Source organism: Homo sapiens, chromosome 1 (genome assembly GCF_000001405.40).
Source record: "Homo sapiens chromosome 1, GRCh38.p14 Primary Assembly".
Taxonomy (NCBI): Eukaryota; Metazoa; Chordata; class Mammalia; order Primates; family Hominidae; genus Homo; species Homo sapiens.
This window is the reverse complement of record NC_000001.11, coordinates 169,392,212-169,419,566: the sequence shown is the minus strand read 5'-3', so window position 1 is coordinate 169,419,566 and position 27,355 is coordinate 169,392,212. Positions and strand designations below refer to the sequence as shown.

The window sequence follows — 27,355 nt, the reverse complement described above, 5'->3', positions numbered from 1 at the left end:
TCCTTTCCTCCCTTCCTTCTGTTCAATCAAAAGGAATTAGAAAGTCTTGCTATATTGTCAAAATGTAAGGAAAACACTTAGAATTCCATTATTTGAAGAAAATTTTACTATGAACTTGTTAAATTAGCCCAGCTAATTTTTGTATTTTGGGTAGAGATGGGTTTTCACCATGTTGGCCAGTCTGGTCTCGAACTCCTGACCTCAAGTGATCTGCCTGCCTCGGCCCCCCAGAGTGCTGGGATTACAGGCATGAGCCACCGTGTCTGGCCTAGAAGGACCAGTTTTCTGATGGAAAGTTTTAGGGTCAGGGAATCCTAATTTCAGATCTCAAAATATATCTCTCTACTCTGATAACTCATACAATTTTATTAATCTTCCATTAATGTCTTTTCATATTCTTTTACTAGGAAGAGCGACGAAAAATAGAAGAAGAGAAAGAAAAAAAGAGAGAGAATGACATAGTATTTAAAGCGTGGTTGCAAAAGAAAAGAGAGCAGGTCTTAGAAATGAGGAGAATTCAGCGAGCAAAGGAAATTGAAGACATGAACAGTAGAGTAAGTAAAACTTCTCTGAAAAATAAGTTCATACAGATATGAAAGCTGAACTTATTTATAGAAGGGAGTCTGGATATCAGACTAACAGCCTATGGAAGAAGTAGAAAAGTTGTTCAAGAACTACCCTTGCAAAAGATGCAACATGCAGATAACTACAATTAGGTTCTAAGAGGTCTTGTGAAAATAAAATGATTCCTATTTTGTTCAGACTTTGATGGAACAGAAAACAGAAAACTATCAATTCGTTTTTTCAAGGTGTAACTTTGTTATTCAAACAGGGCAAAGATACACACACACCCCCCCACAAAACCCTAGAGACTGGTCTCACTTAAGACTAGACGTATAGAAATATTATGTAAATCTTTAGCAAATTAAAGACACCAAATTATTTAATTTAAAAGAATTAAAAAAACTAAAACAGAAAATAGAGAAAATTTAAAAATCATTCATATTCTTACTAAAAAAAGATATATATGTAAAGTTGAAAGTATAATAATAATAAAATTTAAAAAAAAAGAAAAAAAGAAAATTTAACCCTAAGCTCCTCCAGGCTCATCTCCAGTGATAACCACTTTTAACAGCGTGGTGCAAATCCTTTTATATCTTATTTATATTTATATATTTACATGTCAAAAGTTTTATTCAGTTTTTTTTCACTTCATCATGGAACTCTTTCTAAGCCATTACATTTAAATCTCTCTTTTTCAAATAGCTGCATGGTATTACAGTGTTAATTTATTAAGCCATTCTTCATTTGTAGATATTTAGGTTGGTTCCAATGTTGCGTTAGTTAACAGTGCTGTAGTGAAGAGGTACATTCTATGGGAACATCAGTAATCTGTAGGAGAAGTTCTTCAGAGGTGAATTTAAAATGTTTGAAGGCTTAGAGTGAAATGTTTCGTTAAAGATGCAAAAGTAACCTCCCAAAAGATAATATGAATTTATAGTTCCTCCAACAGTGTGTGAGAGTAAATGTTATACCTGTTCCTCCAACGGTGTGTGAGAGTGAATGACTAACACTGTATGTGGGTTATCATCTTATTTTTCCTTCAAATTAATAATATACATGCTTGTATATGAGCATGTGTGAGAAATAATAAGAGATAGATATAGGTCTCTACCCCTAGTTTTTGGCACACAGCTCCTAAAACCTTTTTAATTTCTTGAGTGATGGGGGTTCTACATGTATCTCTTGTTCTAATAACTGAGCTTTTATCCTGGCTTCTGACAAACAGCTGCTAATTCCTTGGAACTTCTTAGGTGATAGGACTCTCTTTGTTCTAATAAGATGACTCTTGGTGGGCTCCTGGTTAGGTGCTGGCTGCCAGAAAGACTAAGCCATGATTAGAAGCCCGGAACTTTCAGTTCTAACTCCTTTCTTCTAGGAAGGGGGAAGGGGCTAGAGATTGAGTTAATAATCTCAATAACTATGTGATGAAGCCTTTATAAAAATCCCCAAGCTGCAGGGTTCAGAGAGCTTCTAGGGTATGGGAAATGTGGTGTTGGGGGGGTGGTGTGCCCCCAAGAGGGCATGGAAGCTTCACACCCCTTCCCAAATACTTTGCCTTGTGTAGCTCTTCATCTGTGTCTTTTATTATATTCTTTATTAATAAACTTGTAAATGTGTTTCCTCGAGTTATGTGAGTTGCTCTAGCAAATTAATCAAACCTGAGGAGAGGGTCATGTTCCCACCACTCCCCACCCTGGCAATATATAGCTGGTCAGACAGAAGCTCTGGTCACAATCTAGGCTTTTGATTGATATCTGAAGTGGAGGCAATCTTGAGGGATTGAGCCCTTAACCCATGGGATTTGATGCTAACTCCAGGGATATATTATCAGAATCGGATTAAATTGTAGGATACCCAGCTGGTGTTAAACTTGTCAGTGTGGGAAGTGGGAACCCTTCCCCATTTTGGTAACCAGAGGTGAAGTATTCTGTGTTGAGTGTGAATGAGAAGGAAAACCAATTGGTTTTTCTATTTATATAGCGTGTGTATTATTCTGTGAATTTCCTGTTTATAATCTTTTTCCTTTTTTAGTTTGGTTTTTATTATCTAAGTGGTATATGAGAGATTTTGATCCTTTGTCTATTATATATGTTATATATTTTCCTAGTCTGACAATATATTTTTTGTTACAGTGTTTATTATGCCATTTGTGGAAGTTTTTAGCTTTTTAAAATCTTGGGATGGGCAGTACTTTCACAGGCAAGGCAGAAAAAACATAAACTAAAAGAGGAAATATGGAGAAATTTGACTGATACCATATAGTAAAATAATAATACACTGAGTAAGATTTAGGAAGGAAATTATGGATCAGTAATAACATGTACTAATATCATTCATCACATCAGTAAGTAGATAAAAGAATATTATCTTGAAAGATATAGCAAAGGTATAATTTCTTTTTAAAAATTCCTAATAAAATGCGGATAATAAACACTATAATGGGGAAATACTCTAGGCATACCTGTTACAATCAGAAACATGTAAGGTTCTATATTAAATAACTGTATTCTGGTGTTTCAATCCAATTCATTAAGAAAAGGAAATGAGGTAAAAATAATAGGAGTGACGGGGCCAAGATGGCTGACTAGAAGCAGGGGGGCTCAGAGGCTCCTATCGGAAAAAAACATAATAAGCATGTGAATCCTTCACTGGCAACCAAGGTATCCAGGTTCTCTCATCAAACTTGACTAGAAGGCTGGCGTGACCCATGGACAGAAGGAAGAGCAGTGTAGTGCGTGGCCCACCTGAGAGCTACATGGGAAAGGAGAACCCCCTACCCCCAGCAAAGGGAGGCAGTGAATGAGCACGCTACCCAGAAGGGGAAACTGTGCTTTTTCCACAGAACTGTGCAACCCATGGATCAGAAGATCCCACTAGAAAATCTAGGCCACTGGGGCCTAGCGTCCCAACCCTAGAACACGATTCTTACAGCTTCTCAGCTGGAATCTACTTAAGCCTACTGAAAACTCCTCGTGGGAGGGGTGACCAATTTAAGTTGTTGAGTTTCAGGTATGCACAAAATATCCAGATGAAGATATTGAAGATTAGTTGGAGAAATTTATCCGGTTTTCAGGAGAAAAGTTGGGACTGGAGATAGGAAATTAGCGATTTCAGAGGTGGAGTAGTTTGTGTGATGAGGATATGGCCATAGAAATACGTGGCAAGTGTAATGGAGAAAGACGTAGAAGATGAGAGAATCAAAGGTCTTTGGGGGTGGATGTTCAATGGCTCTTCTATGTAGTTAAAAATATACCTTGGGACTGGCATGGAGAGGAATATTGAGTCAGGAGTGATCAGAGGTGGTTACATAACTATTTTTAATAGAGCCAAATGATACAAATGTCAAAGGAGGATGGGTTTTCTCAGGAAAACAGAAATACAATTCAGAAGACGTATGGGGGAATGAAGAGAATATTAATTTATTTGTCTGACCACCGAAGTACTTGAAGTATGGTAGAAAATGCAGCCTCTGTTTCAGAGAAGATGTGGCTTGGGGGAGAATCAGAATTTGCATAAGATAGGAAATTTAGGGCCAGATCCCTTTCAGTGACTTGGGAGGATGGATGTTGTTTGGGAGTTTTTATATCATTGAGTAGGAATTACAGAGAACTAACAAGGGTTATGAAGGACAGGAGGAATTTGGGATTGGGTGAAGAAGCAGCACAGCATATTGCTGTAGTGATTACAGGTATAGAAGACAAGAGGAGTTTATGTTTCAGTCAGTGACCACGGAAAACACAGCTATGGCCATACTGCTGATAGCTTCTTGGACGATGATGGGCCTTCAGGCCTCATGGCATTCCAAGTATTATAATTTTTTAAATGGGGTATTTGCAAAAATAAATGTACAGTATATTGTGCAATATTTGCACATAATTGTGCTGTATTTGTACATAGTAAATAGTAATCTTGGATTGTATTCTCAGAAAACATGAGTCATATTGAACATAATTTATTTCAAAAAATTTTATGTAGAAGACATCATGGTTATATATTTCCCTTTGAATATTTATTTTGAATATGTAGTATTTTTTGCTACATTTCAAGTTTGTCTCAAAAATATATTTTAATGAGAAATAGTATCACAAACTAATAGTATTCTGAAGTACTTTTATGAGCTTTGTCTCTACTCAAGCTGAAATATAGCACAATTTGGTAGTTGATTAATTTGGCTTATTAATACATTGCTATAATAAGTGCATTATGTTGATTATTTCTGTGGGACATTGTGTATAATGTGAGTCATAGTTTCCAGAAAATATCTTTAGATTTATAGATTGTGGAATGACCTTTTTTACATTAGATGGATAAAAGATCTTAGGTGATGTAATTTTTATTGCCATTTTTAGGAAAAATAGCTAAAAATGTCTTTCCAACGTTGTTTTGAAATTTGCTTCTCTTGCTCAGTGATATATATGTATACACACACATGAAAATGTATGTATGTATATAGTCTATCTATGTTAACCGTCCATGGGTACTTGTATACCTTGTGTATTCTGCATTGGATGTAGTGCTGTATTAATGTCAATATAGTCTAGTTGGTTGATAGTGTTGTTAAGATCTTCTGCATGCTTATTGTCTTCCCCCATTTTTCCTATGAATTACTTAGAAAATAGTGTTAATAATTTCATCTATCATTGTGCCCTTGCCTATTTCTCCTTTGGTTCTGTTGAGTTTTGCTTCATGTATTTTCAAGTGTTGTGGGTATACATTTAGGACTTTATGTCTTCCTGATAATGACCTTTTCCCATTATGAAATGTCCCTCATATCCTGAAGTCTGTTTTGGCTGAGGTTAATGTAGCCACATCAGTGTTGTTATGCTTACCATTTGCATGGTATAACTTTTTTCATATTTTACTTTCAATGTATCTGTGGCTTTATATTTAAAATGGCTTGTGCAGACGTCATATATTTGAATCTTCCAGTCCAGCAGTCCACTCCTTATACTTAGTATTCACTTGTATTTAATTATTTTTTTTAATTATATTTTAAGTTCTGGGATACGTGTGCAGAAAGTGCAGGTTTGTTACATAAGTAGACACGTGCCATGGTGATTTGCTGTACCCATCAACCCGTCATCTACATTAGGTATTTCTCCTAATGCTATCCCTCCCCTAGCCCCCCACCCTCCGACAGGCCCCAGTGTGTGATGTTCCCCTCCCTGTGTCCATGTGTTCTCATTGTTCAACTTCCACTTATGAGTGAGAACATGCAGTGTTTGGTTTTCTATTCCTGTGTTAGTTTGTTGAGAATGATGGCTTCCAGCTTCATTGATGTCCCTGCAAAGGACATGAACTCATCCTTTTTTATAGCTGCATACTATTCCATGGTATATAACTGCCACATTTTCTTTCTCCAGTCTGTCATTTATGGGCATTTGGGTTGGTTTCAAGTATTTGTTATTGTGAATAGTGCCTCAATAAACATACATGTGCATGTGTCTTTATAGTAGAATAATTTATAATCCTTCGGGTATATAATCCAGTAATGGGATTGCTGGGTCAAATGGTATTTCTGGTTCTAGAGCCTTGAGGAATCACCACACTGTCTTCCACAGTGGTTGAACTAATTTACACTCCCACCAACACTGTAAAAGAATTCCTATTTCTCCACATCCTCTCCAGCATCTATTGTTTCCTGACTTTTTAATGATCGCCATTCTAACTGGTGGGAGATGGTATCTCATTGTGGTTTTGATTTGCATTTCTCTAATACCAGTGATGATGACCTTTCTTTCATATGTCTATTGGCTGCATAAATGTCTTCTTAGAGAATTGTCTGTTCATATCCTTTGCCCACTTTTTGATGGGGTTGTTTGTTTTTTGTTGTAAATTTAAGTTCCTTGTAGATTCTGGATATTAGCCCTTTGTCTAGTGGATAGATTGCAAAAATTTTCTCCCATTCTGTAGGTCGCCTGTTCACTCTGATGATAGTTTCTTTTGCTGTGCAGAAGCTCTTTAGTTTAATTAGATCCCATTTGTCAATGTTGGCTTTTGTTGCCATTGCTGTTGGTGTTTTAGTCATAAAGTCTTTGCCCATGCCTGTGTCCTGAATGGTATTGCCTAGGTTTTCTTCTAGGGTTTTTATGGTTTTAGGTCTTCTGTTTAAATCTTTAATCCATCTTGAGTTAATTTTTGTATAAGATGTAAGGAAGGGGTACAGTTTCAGTTTTCTGCATATGGCTAGCCAGTTTTCCCAGCACCATTTATTAAATAAGGAATCCTTTCCCCATTTCTTGTTTTTGTCAGGTTTGTCGAAGATCAGGTGGTTGTAGATGGGTGGCATTATTTCTGAGTCCTCTGTTCTGTTCCACTGGTCTATATATCTGTTTTGGTACCAGTACCATGCTGTTTGGGTTACTGTACCCTTGTAGTATAGTTTGAAGTCAGGTCCATGATGCCTCCAGCTTTGTTCTTTTTGCTTTAGATTATCTTGGCTATGCAGGCTCTTTTTTTGTTCCATATGAACTTTAAAGAAGTTTTTTCTAATTCTGTGAAGAACGTCAATGGTAGCTTGATGGGGATAGCATTGAATCAGTAAATTACTTTGGGCAGTATGGCCATTTTCATAATATTGATTCTTCCTGTCCATGAGCATGGAATGTTTTTCCATTTGTTTGTGTCATCTCTTATTTCCTTGAGTGGTGGTTTGTAGGTCTCCTTGAAGAGGTCCTTCACATCCCTTGTAAGTTGTATTGCTAGGTATTTTATTCTCTTTGTAGCAATGTGAATGGGAATTCACTCATGATTTGGCTCTGTTTGTACTACTGCTGTATCGTAATGCTTGTTATTTTTGCACGTTGATTTTGTATCCTGAGACTTTGCTGAAGTTGCTTATCAGCTTAAGGAGATTTTGGGCTAAGATGATGGGGTTTTCTAAACATACAATAATATCATCTGCAAACAGAGACAATTTGACTTCCTCTCTTCCTACTTGAATACCCTGTATTTCTTTCTCTTGCCTGATTGCCCTGGCCAGAACTTCCAATACTATGTTGAATAGGAGTGGTGAGAGAGGGCATCCTTGTCTTATGCCAGTTTTCAAAGGGAATGCTTCCAGCTTTTGCCCATTCAGTATGATATTGGCTATGGATTTGTCATAAATAGCTCTTATTATTTTGAGATACGTGCCATCAGTACCTAGTTTATTGAGAGTTTTTAGCATGAAGTGCTGTTGAATTTTATCGAAGGCCTTTTCTGCAACTATTGAGATAATTGTGTGGTTTTTGTCATTGTTTCTGTTTATATGATGGATTATGTTTATCGATTTGCATATGTTGAACCAGCCTTGCATCCCAGGGATGAAGTTGACTTGATGTTGAACTTTTTCATGTGCTGCTGGATTTGGTTTGCTGGTATTTTATTGCGAATTTTCACATTGATGTTCATCAGGGATATTGGCTTGAAATTTTCTTTTCTTGTGTCTCTGCCAGGCTTTGGTATCAGGATGATGCTGGCCTCATAAAATAAGTTAGGTAGGAGTCCCTCTTTTTCTGTTGTTTGGAATAGTTTCAGAAGTAATGGTACCAGCTCCTCTTTGTACTGCTGATAGAATTCAGCTGTGAATCTGTCTGGTCCTTGGCTTTTTTTGGTTGGTAGGCTATTAATTACTGCCTCAATTTCAGAACTTGTTATTGGTCTATACAGAGATTTGACTTATTTCTGGTTTAGTCTTGGGAGGGTGTATGTGTCCAGGAATTTATCCATTTCTTCTAGACTTTCTAGTTTATTTGCATAAAGGTGTTTATACTATTATATGATGGTAGTTTCTATTTCTGTGAAATCAGTGGTGATATCCCCTTTATCATTTTTTTATTGTGTCTATTTGATTCTTCTCTCTTTTATTCTTTATTAGTCTGGATAGCGGTCTATGTATTTTGTTAATCTTTTCAAAAAACCAGCTCCTGGATTGATTTTTTGAAGGGTTTTTCATTTGTCTATCTCCTTCATTTCTGCTCTGATCTTAGTTATTTCTTGCTTTCTGCTAGCTTTTGAATGTGTTTGCTCTTGCTTCTCTAGTTCTTTTAATTGCGATGTTAAAATGTTGATTTTAGATGTTTCCCGCTTTCTCCTGTGGGCATTTAGTGCTGTAAATTTCTCTTTAAACACTGCTTTAGCTGTATCCTAGAGATCTGGTACATTGTGTCTTTGTTCTCATTGGTTTCAAAGAACTTATTTATTTCTCCCTTAATTTCGTTATTTACCCAGTAGTCATTCAGGAGCAGGTTGTTCAGTTTCCATGTAGTTGTGCAGTTTTGAGTGAGTTTCTTAATCCTGAGTTCTAATTTGATTGCACTGTGGTCTGAGAGACTGTTTGTTATGATTTGCATTCTTTTGCATTTGCTGAGGAGTGTTTTACTTCCCATATGTGGTCAATTTTAGAATAAGTGCAATGTGATGCTGAGAAGAATGTATATTTTATTGATTTAAGGTGGAGAGTTCTATAGATGTCTATTAGGTCCGCTTGGTCCAGAGCTGAGTTCAAGTCCTGAATATCCTTGTTAATTTTCTGTCTTGTCGATCTGTCTAATATTGACAGCAGGGTGTTAAAGTCTCCCACTATTATTGTGTGGGTGTCTAAGTCTCTTTATAGGTCTCTAAGGGCTTGCTTTATGCATCTGGGTGCTCCTGTATTGGGTGCATATATATTTAGGATAGTTAGCTCTTCTTGTTGCATTGATCCCTTTACGATTATGTAATGCCCTTCTTTGTCTTTTTTGATCTTTGTTGGTTTAAAGTATGTTTTATCAGAGACTAGTATTGCAACCCCTGCTTTTTTTTTTTTTTTTGCTTTCCATTTGCTTGGTAAATGTTCCTCCATCCCTTTATTTTGAGCCTATGTGTGTCTCTGCATATGAGATGTGTCTCCTGAATACAGCACACCTATGGGTCTTGACTCTATCCGATTTGCCAGTCTGTGTCTCTTAATTGGGGCATTTATCCCGTTTACAGTAAAGGTCAATATTGTTATGTGTGAATTTGATCCTGTCATTATGATGCTAGTTGGTTATTTTGCCTGTTAGTTGATGCAGTTTCTTCATAGTGTCAATGGTCTTTACAATTGGCATGTTTCGGCAGTGGTTGGTATCTGTTTTTCCTTTACATATTTAGTCCTTCCTTCAGGAGCTCTTGTAAGGCAGGCCTGGTGGTGACAAAATCTCTCAGCATTTGCTTGTCTGTAAAGGATTTTATTTCTCCTTCACTTATGAAGCTTAGTTTGGCTGGATATGAAATTCTGGGTTGAAAATTCTTTAAGAATGTTGAATATTGGGCCCCTACTCTCTTCTGGCTTGTAGGGTTTCTGCAGAGAGATCTGCTCTTAGTCTGATGAGCTTCCCTTTATAAGTAACCCGACCTTTCTCTCTGGCTGCCCTTAACATTTTTTTCTTCATTTCAAACTTGGTGAATCTGGCGATTATGTGTCTTGGTGTTGTTCTTCTTGAGGAGTATCTTTGTGGTGTTCTCTGTATTTCCTAAATTTGAATGTTTGCCTGCCTTGGTAGGTTGGGGAAGTTCTCCTGGGTAATATCCTGAAGAGTGTTTTCCAACTTGGTTCCATTCTCTCTGTCACTTTCAGGTACACCAATCAAACGTAGGTTTGGTCTTTTCACATAGTTCCATATTTCTTGGAGGCCAAGTTTGTTCCTTTTCATTCTTTTTTCTCTGATCTTGTCTTCACACTTTATTTCATTATGTTGATCTTCAATCTCTGATATCCTTTCTTCCACTTCATTGATTTGGCTATTGATAGTTGTGTATGTTTCACGAAGTTCTCATGCTGTGTTTTTCAGCTCCATCAGGTCATTTATGTTCTTCTCTGAACTGGTTATTCTAGTTAGCAACTCATCTAACCTTTTTTGAAGATTCTTAGCTTCCTTGCATTGTGTTAGAACATGCTCCTTTAGCTCAGAGGAGTTTGTTATTACCCACCTTCTGAAGCCTACTTCCGTCAATTCGTCAAACTCATTCTCTGTCCAGTTTTGTTCCCTTGCTGGCGAGGAGTTGTGATCCTTTGGAGGAGAAGAGGCATTCTGGTTTTTGGAATTTTCAGCCTTTTTGCGCAGGGCTTTCCTCATCTTTATGGATTTATCTACCTTTTGTCTTTGATGTTGGTGACCTTTGGATGGGGTTTTTGTGTGGATATCCTTTTTGTTGATGTTGATGCTATTCCTTTCTGTTTGTTAGTTTTCCTTCTAACAGTCAGGCCCCTCTGCTTCAACTCTGCTGGAGTTTGCTGGAGGTCCTCTCCAGACCTTGTTTGCTTGGGTATCACCAGCAGAAGCTGCAGAACAGCAAAGATTGCTTCCTGTTCCTTCCTCTGGAAGCTTTGTCCCAGAGGGGCACTCTCCAGAGCTCTCCTGTGTGAGGTGTCTCTCGACCCCTGCTGGGAGGTGTCTCCCAGTCAGGAGGCGCGGGGGTTAGGGACCCACTGGAGGAGGCAGTCTGTCCCTTAGCAGAGCTCAAGCACTGTGCTGGGAAATCCGCTGCTCTCTTCAGAGCTGGCAGGCAGGGACATTGAAGTCTGCTGAAGCTGTGCCCGCAGCCACCCCTTCCCCCAGGTGCTCTGTCCCAGGGTGATGGGAGTTTTATCTATAAGCCCCTGACTGGGGCTGCTGCCTTTCTTTCAGAGATGCCCTGCCCAGAGAGGAGTAATCTAGAGAGGCAGTCTGGCTTTGCCGAGATGTGGTGGGCTCTGCCCAGTTCCAACTTCCTGGCTGTGAGGGGAAAACTGCCTACTCAAGCCTCAGTAATGGTGGACACCCCTTCCCACAAGAAGCTCGAGCGTCCCAGGTCGACTTCAGACTGCTGTGCTGGCAGTGAGAATTTCAAGCAAGTGGATCTTAGCTTGCTGGGCTTTGTGGGGGTGAGATCTGCTGAGCTAGATCACTTGGCTCCCTGGCTTTAGCCCCCTTTCCAGGGGAGTGAATGGTTCTCTCTCACTGGCATTCCAGTATGATGAAAAACTCCTGCAGCTAGCTTGGTGTCTTCCCAAACGGCCACCCAGTTTTGTGCTTGAAACCCAGGGCCCTGGTGGTGTAGGCATTCAAGGGAATCTCCTGGTCTCCTGGTTGTGAAGACCCTGGGAAAGGGGTGGTATTTGGGCAATAATGCACAGTTCCTCGTAGCACAGTCCCTCACAGCTTCCCTTGGCTAGGGGAGGGAGTTCCCTGACCCCTTGAGCTTCCCAGGTGAGGCGACGCTTCACCCTGCCTCGGCTCACCCTCTGTGGGTTGCACCCACTGTCTAACCAGTCCTAGTGAGATGAGCCGAGTGCCTCAGTTACAAACGCAGAAATCACCTGCCTTCTGTGTTGGTCTCACTGGGAGCTGCAGATTGGAGCTGTTCCTATTTGGCCATCTTGCCAGCCACCCCTGTATTTAATTATAATTATTGATCGATAGTTTTTAAATCTGTCATCTTGATATTTGTTATCTATTTGTTCAATTACTCATCCTTTTCTGCCTTATAATCAAGTATTTAAAAAACAGTCCTTTTTATTTTCTTATATACTTTTTAAGTATGCCTCTGCATGCTTTTTTTAAGGCATTGCTCTGAATATATACATATATACTGAATGTGTGGAAAATCACCGAAGAATTTTTTTTTCCTTTTACTTGGTATAGAATTTGAGGCTGACAGGTATTTTTCCCCTGCAGCATTTTAAAGATGATGTTCAATTGTTTTACAATGTCCTTTGTTTCTATTCAGAGGTTGGCTATCATTCTTATCATTGTTCTGGTGTATATAATAAATCTTTTTCCTCTGGCTTCTTTAAAATTTTCCTGGCTTTGGTTTTTAGAAGTGTATTACATGTGTGATTTTCTTTGAATTTACCTAACCTGGGTTTTGCTGAGCTTCTTGAATCTTTATGTTCATGTTTTGTACCAGATTTGGGAAATTCTCAGCCACTGTTTCTTCAAAGGCTTTTTTTTTTTTTTTTTCTGCCTCATCTTTTTTCTCCTCTCCTTCTGGAAATCCAATTTTACGTATGTTAGAAGACTTGCTATTATCTCATGTTACTAAACGTCTGTTTACTGAAAATTTTTTTCATTTGTTCAGTTTACATCATTTCTATTGATCCATCTTGAGGCATCAGTACTTCTGCAATGTTCATTCCACTGTTAAGCCCATTCAGGGAATTTAGGTTGTGTTTGTTTGTTGGTTTATTTTTTTTTATTTTTTTTGTGGTGGGTTTTTTTTCTTTTCTTTTTTATTATGCTTTAAGTTCTAGGGTACATGTGCCACAACGTGCAGGTTTGTTACATATGTATACATGTGCCATGTTGGTGTGCTGCACCCGTTAACTCATCCTTTACATTAGGTATATCGCTTAATGCTCTCTCTCCACCCCACAACAGGCCCTGGTGTGTGATGTTCCCCACCCTGTGTCTAAGTGTTCTCATTGTTCAATGCCCACCTGTGAGTGAGAACATGCGGTGTTTGGTTTTCTGTCCTTGTGATAGTTTGCTCAGAATGATGGTCTCCAGCTTCATCCATGTCCCTAAAAAGGATATGAACTCATCCTTTTTTATGGCTGCATAGTATTCCATGGTGTATATGTGCAACATTTACTTAATCCAGTCTATCATTGTTGGACGTTTGGGTTGGTTCCGAGTCTTTGCTATTGTGAATAGTGCTGCAATAAACATATGTGTGCATGTGTCTTTATAGCAGCATGATTTATAATCCTTTGGGTATATACCCAGTAATGGGATGGCTGGGTCAAATGGTATTTCTAGTTCTAGATACTTGAGGAATTGCCACACTGTCTTCCACAGTGGTTGAACTACTTTACACTCCCACCAACACTGTAAAAGAGTTCCTATTTCTCCACATCCTCTCCAGCACCTGTTGTGTCCTGACTTTTTAATGATTGCCATTCTAACTGGTGTGAGATGGTATCTTGTTGTGGTTTTGATTTGCATTTCTCTGATGGCCAGTGATGATGAGCCTTTTTTCATGTGTATGTTGGCTGCATAAATGTCTTCTTTTGAGAAGTGTCTGTTCATATCCTTCACTCATTTTTTGATGGGGTTGTTTTTTTCTTGTAAATTTAAGCTCTTTGTAAATTCTGGATATTAGCCCTTTGTCAGATGGGTAGATTGTAAAAATTTTCCCCCATTCTGTAGGTTGCCTGTTCACTCTGATGGTAGTTTCTTTTGCTGTGCAGAAGCTCTTTATTTTAATTAGATCCCATTTGTCAATTTTGGCTTTTGTTGCCATTGCTTTTGTTTTAGTCATGAAGTCTTTGCCCATGCCTGTGGCCTGAATGGTATTTCCTAGCTTTTCTTCTAGGGTTTTTATGGTTTTAGGTCTAACATTTAAGTCTTTAATCCATCTTGAATTAATTTTTGTATAAGGCGTAAGGAAGGAATCCAGTTTCAGCTTTCTACATATGGCTAGCCAGTTTTCCCAGCACCATTTATTAAATAGGGAATCCTTCCGCCGTTTCTTGTTTTTGTGAGGTTTGTCAAAGATCAGATGGTTGTAGATATGTGGTATTATTTCTGAGGGTTCTGTTCTGTTCCACTGGTCTATATCTCTGTTTTGGTACCAGTACCATGCTGTTTTGGTTACTGTATCCTTGCAGTGTAGTTTGCAGTCAGGTAGCGTGATGCCTCCAGCTTTGTTCTTTTTGCTTAGGATTGTCTTGGCAATGTGGGCTCTTTTTTGGTTCCATATGAACTTTAAAGTAGTTTTTTCCATTCTGTGAAGAAAGTCATTGATAGCTTGATGGGGATGGCATTGAATCTATAAATTACCTTGGGCAGTATGGCCATTTTCACGATATTGATTCTTACTATCTATGAACATGGAATGTTCTTCCATTTGTTTGTGTCCTCTTATTTCATTGAGCAGTGGTTTGTAGTTCTCCTTGAAGAGGTCCTTCACATCCCTTGTAAGTTGGATTCCTAGGTATTTTATTCCCTTTGAAGCAATTATGAATGAGAATTCACTCATGATTTGGCTCTCTGTTTGTCTGTTATTGGTGTATAAGAATGCTTGTGATTTTTGTACATTGATTTTGTATCCTGAGATTTTGCTGAAGTTGCTTATCAGCTTAAGGAGATTTTGGGCTGAGACGATGGGGTTTCTAAATATACAATCATGTCATCTGCAAACAGGGACAATTTGACTTCCTCTTTTCCTAATTGAATACACTTTATTTCTTTCTCCTGCCTGATTGCCCTGTCCAGAACTTCCAACACTATGTTGAATAGGAGTGGCGAGAGAGGGCATCCCTGTCTTGTGCCAGTTTTCAAAGGGAATGCTTCCAGTTTTGCCCATTCACTATGATATTGGCTGTGGATTTCTCATAAATAGCTCTCATTATTTTGAGATACGTCCCATCAATACTTAGTTCATTGAGAGTTTTTAGGATAAAGGGCTGTTGAATTTTTTCGAAGGCCTTTTCTGCATCTATTGAGATAATCATGTGGTTTTTGTCTTTGGTTCTGTTTAGATGATGGATTACGTTTATTGATTTGCATACGTTGAACCAGGCTTGCATCCCAGGGATGAAGCCCACTTGATCATGGTGGATAAGCTTTTTGATGTGCTGCTGGATTTGGTTTGCCAGTATTTTATTGAGGATTTTTGCATCAATGTTCATCAGGGGTATTGGTCAAAAATTCTCTTTTTTTGTTGTGTCTCTGCCAGGCTTTGGTATCAGGATGATGCTGGCCTTATAACGAGTTAGGGAGGATTCCCTCTTTTTCTGATGATTGGAATAGTTTCAGAAGGAATGGTACCTGCTCCTCTTTGTACCTCTGGTAGAATTTGGCTGTGAATCTGTCTGGTCCTGGACTTTTTTTGGTTGGTAGGCTATTAATTATTGCCTCAATTTCAGAGCCTGTTATTCGTCTATTCAGGGATTCAGCTTCTTCCTGGTTTAGTCTTGGGAGGGTGTATGTGTCCAGGAGTTTATCCATTTCTTCTAGATTTTCTAGTTTATTTGCATAGAGGTGTTTATAGTATTCTCTGATGGTAGTTTGTATTTCTGTGGGATCGGTGGTGATATCCCCTTTATCAATTTTTATTGCATCTATTTGATTCTTCTCTCTTTTCTTCTTTATTAGTCTTGGTAGCAGTCTATCGATTTTGCTGATCTTTTCAAAAAACCAGCTCCTGGATTCATTGATTTTTTTGAAGGGTTTCTTTTGTCTCTATCTCCTTCAGTTCTGCTCTGATCTTAGTTATTTCTTGCCTTCTGCTAGCTTTTGAATGTGTTTGCTCTTGTTTCTCCAGTTCTTTTAATTGTGATGTTAGGGTATCAATTTTAGATCTTTCCTGCTTTCTCTTGTGGGCATTTAGTGCTATAAATTTCACTCTACACACTGCTTTAAATGTGTCCCAGAGATTCTTGTATGTTGTGTCTTTGTTCTCATTGGTTTCAAAGAACATCTTTATTTCTGCCTTCATTTCGTTATCTACCCAGTAGTCATTCAGGAGCAGGTTGTTCAGTTTCCACGTAGTTGAGCGGTTTTGAGTGAGTTTCTTAAGCCTGCGTTCTAGTTTGATTGCACTGTGGTCTGAGAGACAGTTTGTAATAATTTCTGTGTTTTTACATTTGCTGAGGAGTGCTTTACTTTCACCTATGTGGTCAATTTTGGAATAAGTGTGATGTGGTGCTGAGAAGAATGTATATTCTGTTGATTTGGGGTGGAGTTCTGTAGATGTCTATTAGGTCCGCTTGGTGCAGAGCTGCGTTCAATTCCTTGATATCCTTGTTAATTTTCTGTCTCGTTGATCTGTCTAATGTTAACAGTGGGGTGTTAAAGTCTCCCATTATTAATGTGTGGGAGTCTAAGTTTCTCTGTAGGTCTCTAAGGGTTTGCTTTATGAATCTGGGTGCTCCTGTATTGGGTGCATATATATTTAGGATAGTTCGCTCTTCTCATTGGATTGATACCCCATCATTATATAATGGCCTTTTTTGTATCTTTTGATCTTTGTTGGTTTAAAGTCTGGTTTTTTCAGAGACTAGGATTGCAACCCCTGCTTTTTTTTTTTTTTGTTTGTTTTCCATTTGCTTGGTAGATCTTCCTCCTTCCCTTTATTTTGAGCCTATGTGTGTCTCTGCACATGGGTATCCTGAATACAGCACACTGATGGGTCTTGACTCTTTATCCAATGTGCCAGTCTGTGTCTTTTAATTGGAGCATTTAGCCCATTTACATCTAAAGTTAATATTGTTATGTGTGTATTTGGTCCTGTCATTATGATGTTAGCTGGTTATTTTGCTCGTTAGTTGATGCAGTTTCTTCCTAGCCTTGATGGTCTTTACATTTTGGCATGTTTTTGTGGTGGCTGGTACTGGTTGTTCCTTTCCATGTTTAGTGCTTCCTTCAGGAGCTCTTTTAGGGCAGGCCTGGTGGTGACAAAATCTCTCAGCATTTGCTTGTCTGTAAGGTATTTTATTTCTCCTTCACTTATGAAGCTTAGTTTGGCTGGATATGAAATTCTGGGTTGAAAATTCTTTTCTTTAAGAATGTTGAATATTGGCCCCCACTCTCTTCTGGCTTGTAGAGTTTCTGCCGAGAGATCCGCTGTTAGTCTGATGGGCTTCCCTTTGTGGGTAACCCAACCTTTCTCTCTGGCTGCCCTTAACATTTTTTCCTTCATTTCAACTTTAGTAAATCTGACAATTATGTGTCTTGGAGTTGCTCTTCTTGAGGAGTATCTTTGTGGTATTTGCTGTATTTCCTGAATTTGAATGTTGGCCTGCCTTGCTAGCTTGGGGAAGTTCTCCTGGATCATATCCAGAAGAGTGTTTTCTAACTTGGTTCCGTTCTCCCCGTCACTTTCAGGTACACCAATCAGACGTAGATTTGGTCTTTTCACATAGTCCCATATTTCTTGGAGGCTTTGTTCATTTCTTTTTACCCTTTTTTCTCTAAACTTCTCTTCTCACTTCATTTCATTCATTTGATCTTCAATCACAGATACCCTTTCTTCCACTTGATCAAATTGGCTACTGAAGGTTGTGCATGCATCGCGTAGTTCTTGTGCCATGGTTTTCAGCTCCATCGGGTCATTTAAGGTCTCCTCTACACTGTTTATTCTAGTTAGCCATTCGTCTAATCTTTTTTTCAAGGTTTTTAGCTTCTTTGCGATGGGTTCAAACATCCTTCTTTAGCTCGGAGAAGTTTGTTATTACCGATTGTCTGAAGCCTTCTTCTCTCAACTCATCAAAGTCATTCTCCATCCAGCTTTGTTCCATTGCTGGGGAAGAGCTGCATTCCTTTGGAGAAGAGGCACTCTGATTTTTAGAATTTTCAGCTTTTCTACTCTGGTTTCTCCCCATCTTTGTGGTCTTATCTACCTTTGGTCTTTGACGATGGTGATGTACAGATGGGGTTTTGGTGTGGATGTCCTTTCTGTTTGTTAGTTTTCCTTCTAACAGTCAGGACCCTCACCTGTGGGTCTATTGGAGTTTGCTGGAGGTCCACTCCAGACCCTGGTTTGCTTGGGTCTCACCAGCAGAGGCTGCAGAACAGCAAATATTGCAGAACAGCAAATGTTGCTGCCTGATCCTTCCTCTGGAAGCTTCGTCTCAGAGGGGCACCCGGCTGTATGAGGTGTCAGTTGGCCCCTACTGGGAGGTGTCTCCCAGTTAGCCTACTTGGGCGTCAGGGACCCACTTGAGGAGGCAGTCTGTCCTTTCTCAGATCTCAAACTCCGTGCTGGGAAAAGCACTACTCTCTTCAAAGCTGTCAGACTGGGACGTTTAAGTCTGCAGAAGTTTCTGCTGCCTTTTGTTCAGCTGTGTCTTGCCCCCAGAGGTAGAGTCTACAGAGGCAGGCAGGCCTCCTTGAGCTGTGGTCAGCTCCACCCAGTTGGAGCTTCCCAGCTGCTTTGTTTACCTACTTAAGCCTCAGCAATGGCAGACATCTCTCCCCTAGCCTTGCTGTGGCATTGCAGTTTGATCTCAGACTGCTGTGTTAGCAGTGAGTGAGGCTCTGTGGGAGTGGGACCCTCTGAGCCAGGTGCGGGATATAATCTTCTGATGTGCCGTTTGCTAAGACCGTTGGAAAAGTGTAGTATTGGGGTGGGAGTGTCCCAGTTTTCCAGGTACCATCTGTCATAGCTTCCCTTGGCTAGGAAAGGGAATTCCCCGACCCCTTGTGCTTCCTGGGTGAGGCGATGCCCCACTGTGCTCTGTGGGCTGCACCCACTGTCTGACAAGCCCCAGTGAGATGAACCCGGTACCTCAGTTGGAAATGCAGAAATCACCCGTCTTCTGCATCACTCACGCTGGGAGCTATAGACTGGAGCTGTTCCTATTTGGCCATCTTGGATCCTCCTATCAGTTTATTTTTTTAAATTTCCATTTCTTTACTGAGATTCTCTTTTTATTCATTATATTCACCTGTTCATTTCTTACATATTAGACCTTTTTTATATTCATCTTTTCATTTCTTAAATATTAGACCTGTTTGTATCTAAATGCCAATATCTATGTCATCTTAGGATCGATCTGTTGAAGGCCTCTTTCTCTGGATTATGGGTCACATTTTCTTGTTTCTTTAGATATCCAGTGATTTTTTTTAAATTGGTTAATAGACTGTGGATCTTTTCAATATAAAAGTTGTAAGGAAATATAGAATACACTGTTTTCCTTTAAAGGGTATTGAATTTTTTTCTTGTAGGCAGTTAGATTAGTAAGGAATACTCTTGATCCTGTCAGACTTTGTTTTATGCTTTGTTAGGATGGGTTTATTTTGCTTTTGTCCTTAGTCCTAGAGCATGGTCCTTACTCTAGGACATGACCCTTATTTCCAAAGCATGGCCTTTTTAGGGTTGTAAGTGGTTGACCAAGGTAAGCAATGAAGTATTCCCACTATAGTTGGATTGGAACTCCAATGTCTCCAAAACTATGCAACCTTTATTATCTTCTTCATTAACAGCAGCTACTCTCTGTTAGACCTTACAGAGCCTCACTCTACACATGTGCAGCCCAGGCCTTGCCAAGACCCAAGGGAAACCCCCACACAGACTCTTGGAGCATCCCTCCACATGACTGCTTCATTTCTAGTACCCTGCCCTGGAAATTCAGCTGTCTCAGCAGCCCCAGACTCCTATCTGTTTCATGAGCCCAGTGAGACTAGTGACTGCTTGATGCTATGACTCCTCCTTCCTATACCGTTGTCTGGAAAGTGTCACCAAGTACAGAGCCAGGGTGAATATGGGGGTTATATCATGTTTTTTCTTACTCTCAGTTATCAAGCTGCTGCATACATTTTATCTAGCTTTATAGCTAATTAGGGCAGAAGGGTAAATCTGATACCAATTATGATATCATGGATGGATGCAAAAGTCTCCAATTCAGTCATTTATCCTTTTTTATAATCAGATAATTTAATCCATTACTAATTATGTGTATAATTCATATTTTATCTTTAGAATTTTTTATTTTCCTCTAATTTTTTATTTTGGTTCCCTCCACTATTGAGAGTTATTTGCTATGATCTTATGCAGTGACATATTTGCATACCAATGCAGTCTATCATTCTGATGATAGTTCTGCTGTAATTTACCTTGTTTTAAAAATATATTTTCTTGAATTTTTATTATACTAATAAACCTGGAATAATTTAAAAAATAATCATTTAAAGCATGACATAAAACTATCCATTCAATTTTTGAGCAAATTATGTTGGTTCTATCTTCAGTGCATATACAGAGTCCCACTACCCTAATCTAAACCACTATTTTCTTCTGTTGGCTGGGCTGTTACAAAAGCCTAATAACCCAGCCCCCTTCTACCTTGCCTCTCCCTCATTCAGTTTTCCACATAGCAGCCAGAATGATATTTCTAAAATGGTGAATAAACTGTGTCACTTATGCTCAGAAACCCCCAATGGCTTCTCATCTCAAAATGAAATCCAAAGTTCCTACCATGGCCAGCAAGGTTATACATTACCTGATCCCTACTACTTCCCTGACTTCATCTTCCACTCTTCAGCTACTTTGCTACAGCTTCACTTTGACTTCTTTGCTATTTATTGATCATGCCAAACACAATCCCTTCTTAGCTCCTTTGCTCTTATTGTTACCACTGTTTTTCTCCAGATATCCCATAACTTCCTCCCTTTCTATTTAAATACCATCCTTTCTCCTCACTGCTGTGTTTATTACCCTCCTTCCCATATTTTCTTTTGAATCAGACAGATCAGTCAATCAATCAGTCAGTCACTTATTTTTATCCTGTCTGTGCAGAACACTGTCCAATAGAACTTTCTGGGATGATGGAAATTTTCTGTATTTGCACTGTCCATTAGAGTAGCTGCTAGCCATGTGTGTCTGTTAAGCACTTGAAATGTAGCTAGTATGACTGAGAAACTGAAGTTTAAATTTTATTTAAATAGCCACTTATGACTTGTGGTTACTGTATTGTACAGTACAGAATGTGTGAGAGAGGGAACCTTAATTTTATTAATGCAACCCAGTACTTTAGTGCCTGCTATGTAGTAAATACTATGAATATCTGTTGAAAGAACAAAAGAATGGGGATACCCATGTATCCTGTTGCTCCCTGAATCCTTGAATCTTTAAAAATATTTTAACTTTAAAATTGTATTTAATTGACACATAATTTCACATATTTATGGAGTACAGTGTGATGTTTTGATACATGTACACATTGTGTAATTAGCATATTACCTCAAACACTTGTCATTTCTTTATGATGAGAACATTCAAAAATCCTCTCCTCATTATTTTGAAATATACGGTATTGTTAACTGTAGTCACTCTACTGTGTAATAGAACACCAGAACTTATTCCTCCTATCTATTACTTTGTATCTGGACTCTTTTGATCTATAACTCCCGATTGAACATTTTTATGTCATCTCTAGCAATTCCCAGACTTCCAGGTGTTTGGCAATGATTCTTTAGATCCAGGGGTCTTCTCCACAAAGTTCAGTTGTGCATCAAAGATCCTGAATAATCTTCTAAATTAGACTAGAGCATATTTGGCAATGTGGGTTACAAACAAGGGAAAAAATGCAAGATATAGGCAACAGATGAGGGAAATGCAAGATATAAGCTCAATCACAAAGCTTATATTTGGGGGAAGTATTAAATGAATGTATCTTTTCCTTTTGCATTCTAGCCAGGAATCCACATGAGGTGACACTTTTCCCAAGGGTAAAGAGTACCAAATCTGTCTTCTTTCTCTCCTTTATTCCTCCAAATAAGAGCTCTTTGAACTTTTGAAAATTCCCTGAAGATACTATCCATCATGAACTTTGAGGGACCACGAAATAAGCCACTCCTACTAGCTTTTTCTTATGTTAAAATTATCATGGCTGCTATCTTTATAAGAAAATTCTTATGACTGAAAATCCTTATGGCCACCCTTTACAATAGGAACTACAGTTTTGAAAAATGGGCTTAGCCATTTTAAGTAACTGCTGAAAGATATTCTTAAAACTTAAGCGTGATGTATTTGGTTTGGATACTAGGAATGCAGGTAATGAGGCTGGCATTATTATGAAAAATTGAAGAGTAGGAAATATATTCTTGTAGGATCCCATAAGCAGGGCTTCAAAATGTAGTTCTTGTTTATCTAAACTAAGTAAAGCTTGTTTTTCTAATCAGCAGGAAAACAGAGATCCACAACAAGCTTTTCGATTATGGCTTAAAAAAAAGCACGAAGAGCAGATGAAAGAAAGACAGACAGAAGAACTAAGAAAGCAAGAGGAATGTTTATTCTTCCTTAAAGGAACAGAAGGCCGGGAAAGGGCCTTTAAACAGTAAGTTAAAGGCAGGGCATTTCCCCCCTCCTCCTTCCTCATGTTCATTTTAAAAGTTATATCATCAATTAAGATTGGAAAAAAAAAACCCTCAAAATGTTTTCTCTTACAGCACGTACCTATTCAATTTTAAATTCATGCTTTTAAAAATGTATAATTCTTTAACTCTATTATATATATTATATATATGGAGTTATATATATATATGCATACCAATTTTTCTTCAAGATACTTTTCAATACTTAAATTATTTCTTATGGCACCAGTGTGATAGCCTTTGATACCTTATCATTTATTGTTTACTTATTTCTGTGAGAAATGGGTTGAAGATTGGTTACAGCTTCTCCTACATAGCCCTCAGAAAAACTGAATTTACAAATAAATGCAACCAATAAAAGTTGCATTTACCAGTAAAAGAAAGGCAGGTGGACTAAGGAGGAAAATCTGTATAGACCAAAGGAGATTTGGGTACATATTTTGGTAATTTAAGGCAAACCTGATATTTTTTAGTTATTTGGGTAAGACACTGCATTGCCTAATTCTGACAATACAGATGTGGCTTCATATTTTTGCTAGCAAGTGTGGGGAGAGTTGGGGGACCAAATGTGAATATTGAGTCCAATTGTTTGAAGTTCATTTCATTCTTTCGTCTCTTTTGCTCTTTCCTTCTTTTTTCTCTTCCTTCCTTTTTCTTTTCCTGTCACCCAGGCTGGAGTGCAGTGGCATGATCTCAGCTCACTGCAACCTCACCCTCCCAGGTTCAAGTGATTTTCCCACCTCAGCCTCCCAAGTAGCTGGGACCACAGGTGTGCACCACCACACCTGGCTAATTTTTATATTTTTTTTGTAGAGATGGGGTCTCACCATGTTGCTCAGGCTGGTCTCAAACTCCAGACCTCAAGTGATCCGCCCACCTTGGCCTCCCAAAGTGCTGAGATTAGAGGCATGAGCCACCATGCCCAGCCTCCTTTTTGTTTTTCTAACATACCCTTTTATTATAACAGAAACAGTAAATGTGCATTGTAGAAATGGAGCGGTTTCAAGTTACATTTTCATCACCCAGAAATTGTGACTGTTAACACCAGTATGCATACTGTCTAAGTATTTGTCTGTACATGTATTTACAATTTCAAAATACTGAGATCATACTGTATTTCTGCAATCTGCTTTTCATTAATGATATTACCGAATATCCAGCCCATATCCATTTATTCCCCAACTAACCCATAAATGACTTACAGTTTATTTGCTTAAACTAGTAGCCAATTCAGGACCACATATCATCAGATTATGATATTTAGTAAGTTTCTTTTTTTTCTAATACAGTTATTTAGTTGTTTATTCTGAAAAAAAAAAAACAACAAAACCAGGTGTATGTATGTGCATATACACACACACACACACACAAACATACCACATACACACTTACATACCAGGTATATATGTATATGCAGTTATTTTTGCTATTATTTAAACAAGGTTTAAGACTTGAATTTGTTAGAATGTGGACTTTTCCTTTCCTGCTTTTGATGTTTTCATGTTTGGCTTACTTTTCATTTTAAGAACTATTTTGTGGACTTAAAAGCTCTATAATTTACCTATAAGAAGAGTAAGGCAGCATTTCTGCATGATAGTATTCTTAACCTAGCTAAGTAATGTTTTAGAATACAGCTAGTTACAAAGAGTAAGTTATTTGGAATCTACCAAATAGTAAGAAATCCTGTTTCTAAAAAAAGAATAGGATCTACAGCACACATAAAATAGTGTTTATTATTAAAAAACCAATTAAGTTGGCAGTTTCATTGTAAGACAGACAATTTCAAACATTTGACCCCAAATCTAACGGTCCTTTCTTGTATGAGCCTTGGGTGTAATCTTTACATTTTTCAGTTAATACTTAAAAATTTGTGCTGTGACAGTATTTCATTGTAAAGAAATGTCCATTTATTTTGTCTATAATAGTAACTTTATAGCATGAAGAGTGTATTCAGGTTGATACTCACCAAATCTGATCATGCCTGTTTCTACAGATGGTTAAGAAGGAAACGGATGGAAAAAATGGCAGAGCAACAAGCTGTCAGAGAGAGAACTAGACAGCTCCGACTAGAAGCTAAGCGTTCTAAACAGTTACAGCACCACCTATATATGTCAGAAGCCAAACCTTTTCGTTTTACTGATCATTATAACTGAAAGTTTCTATTAAATATTTCAGTGGGCAGCTGCTATCAAAATTTTGGATATGATTTCTTAGGGTCTGTGTACTTTGGTTGTATTCTAAATTATGGAAATGGTATTTATCTTTTATTGACAGTGAATTTGTTTTTTTAATACTAGAACAAAATAAATTTTTTTCTCACAGTGTTGTAATGTGTTGTGCCATCTCTTAGTCTGTGCAACAAATTGAACAACGAATGAATTCTATGTCCTTCTACTTCTAAATTATTTTATTAACGTTTCTAGGAGAAAACACAAGAAAGGTACAGATTTCTATTCATACTTCCTATTATTTTTAAAAAATTACAATGGAACATTTCATAAGGCTGAAGGAGTGACTCCTTAAACAAGCCTGGTTCAAGGCCTTAAAGTCCTATTTATGTCAACTTTGGATTTGAATAATCATGGCAAGCTAAGCAATAGGGTAGGCCTAATTCCACCCGTTAGTACCTTAAAAAATACACCCTATATGTGAGAGCTAAACATTGTGTATTCATGGACATAAAGATGTCCCCAGTAGACACTGGGGACTCCTGGGGGTGAGGGAAGGGAGCAAGGGTTGAAAAACTAACTATTGGGTACTATGTTCTTTACCTGGGTGATGGGACCAATCATACCCGGACCCTCAGCAACATGCAACATACCCATGTAACTAACGCACATATGTATCCCCGAATCTGAAATAAAACTTGAAATGATAAAATAGCAATTATGTGTAATACTATTTTAGGTAGGTATGTTACAAAATTAGCCAACTTTTATTGAGAGCTTAAAACATTTTAAAATGTATTATAAATGCTTTATATAAATAATGTAATCATATGACAACCCTATTAGTGTCGTTCTGCAGAGAAGGAAACTATATAGACATGAATATTTTGTTCACATAGACTGATCTGTATGGTTGCAAAATCCTTTCTCTCAGTTATATTATAAAGATTACATTCCTTGGTAGAATATGTGATATTTAAGAGTATACAAGAATCCAGTGTGTAGAGGAATAGTACTTCTGATACATGTAAGAGCATGTAAGGGGTGAAGGACAAAGGTAAGCATACAAGTGTGATGGAGAATGGACAGTCACTGTAAGCATTCTGGCAAAGTTTAAAAGACAAACTTCTGGCTGGGTGCGGTGGCTCACGCCTGTAATCCTAGCACTTTGGGAGGTTGAGGCAGGAGGATCACTTGAGGCCAGGAGTTTGAGACCGGCCTGGCCAACATGGCGAAACCCCGTCTCTACTAAAAATACAAAAATTAGTTGGGCATGGTGCCATGCACCTGTAGTCCCAGCTACTCAGGAGGCTGAGGCATGAGAATCGCTTGAACCCCAGAAGTGGAGGTTGCAGTGAGCCAAGATTGCATCACTGCACTCCAGCCTGGGTGACAGAGTGAGACCGTATCTCAAAAAAAAGAGACAAAGTTGTTTTTTTTTTTCCCTTAGACAGTCTCACAGTCTCCCAGGCTGGAGTGCCGTGGCACATCTCAGCTCACTGCAACCTCCACCTCCCGGGTTCAAGTGATTCTCCTGCCTCAGCCTGCTGAGTAGCTGGGATTACAGGCACCCGCCACCATGCCCAGCTAATTTTTTTTTATTTTTAGTAGAGACGGGGTTTCGCCATGTTGGTCAGGCTGGTCTCAAACTCCTGACCTCAGCTGATCCACCTGCCTCAGCCTCCCAAAGTGCTGGGATTACAGGTGTAAGTCACTGCACCTGGCCAGTTTGATTCGTTTTTACTTAATTTTTATATATGGCGTGAGGTAGAGTAAGAAAAAACAAACTTTTTCCTTGTATACTCTCAATACTCAGTACATCACTTCTGACACCAGATGTTTAGGTTGTTTTCCCCAAGACCAAGCAATTTCCCCGTTCTCTGCAGACACCAAGTAGGTATTCTACAATTCAATTCTGACGCTAACCAGAGTTAATGCAGACCATACACCCAGGCTCAGTCCCATGAAACTGCCCCCCACTTCAGACATCAATTGCAAATAATAGGTCCCCTGGTTACAGTTCCCACAGTACTTTGCTAGAATCGCTCACAGAACTCAGAGAAACACTTCTGTTTCTCTTTTTAAAAGGATGCAACTCAGGAATAGCCAGATTGAAGAGATTCGTGGGGCAAGGTATGGAGGAAGGGTCGTGGAACTTCCATGCTCTCGGTACCTGCACATGTTCAGCAACCTAGAAAGCTGTCTAAACCTTTTGGGTTTTTATGGAGGGGCTTCATTATGAAGGCATGACTGATTAAATCATTGGCTACTGGTAATCAACTTAACCTTCAGGACTTCCCCCTCCCCTGGAGGTCTACTCTCTAATTACTTGGTTGGTTCCTCCTGGCAACTTCCCCCCATCCAGATCCCCCAGACATTAGTCATTTCATTAGCATACAAAGATACTCACAGCTTGGGGACTTGGGATGTTGCAAGGGTTTTAGGAGCTATGTGCCAGGAAACTGGTACAAGACCAAAATATGTATTTCTTCTATCGCAATATCACATAGAGGTTCAACTTTTTTTTTGCATGTGTACATTCAGTTATTGCAGCATCATTTGTTGAAAGTCAGTTGGCCATAGATGTATGGGTTTATTTCTGAAGCCTCAATTCTATTCTATTGATCTGTATGTTAGTATCATCTGTACTTGTGCCAACAGCCCACTGTTTAGACCACTGTAGTTTTATAGTAAGTTTTGAAATTGGGAAGTGTCAGTCCTCCAACTTTGGCCTTTTCCGCATTGTTTTGGCTATTCACGGCGTTTACAATTCCATATGAGTTTGATGGTAAGCTTTTCCATTTTTCAAAAAGGCTGTTG

At 38.6% G+C, this 27,355-nt stretch overlaps 2 protein-coding genes across 9 annotated transcripts in view; one reads left to right on the top strand and one right to left on the bottom strand.

Moving 5' to 3' along the window:
* The window catches only part of CCDC181 (coiled-coil domain containing 181), a 65,800-nt gene extending 41,103 nt beyond the window's left edge, over nucleotides 1–24,697 (top strand). For 4 of the 8 annotated variants that reach the window (XM_005245383.1, XM_017001938.2, NM_001394007.1 and 1 more), the window contains 3 exons: nucleotides 408–554; nucleotides 22,176–22,330; nucleotides 24,361–24,697. In XM_005245383.1, coding sequence (XP_005245440.1) covers nucleotides 408–554; nucleotides 22,176–22,330; nucleotides 24,361–24,520 — 462 coding nt within the window. In that variant the 3' untranslated portion in view covers nucleotides 24,521–24,697. Of the gene's footprint in view, nucleotides 1–407; nucleotides 784–22,175; nucleotides 22,331–24,360 lie in introns of those variants that run through there. The other 4 variants (NM_001300968.1, NM_001394008.1, NM_021179.3 and 1 more) reach the window with 2 other exon arrangements.
* The window catches only part of BLZF1 (basic leucine zipper nuclear factor 1), a 28,381-nt gene continuing 24,017 nt past the window's right edge, over nucleotides 22,992–27,355 (bottom strand). Inside the window, exon 8 of the mRNA NM_003666.4 lies at nucleotides 22,992–23,673. The gene's annotated coding sequence lies outside the window, so the exon portion shown is untranslated. The remainder of the gene's footprint in view (nucleotides 23,674–27,355) is intronic.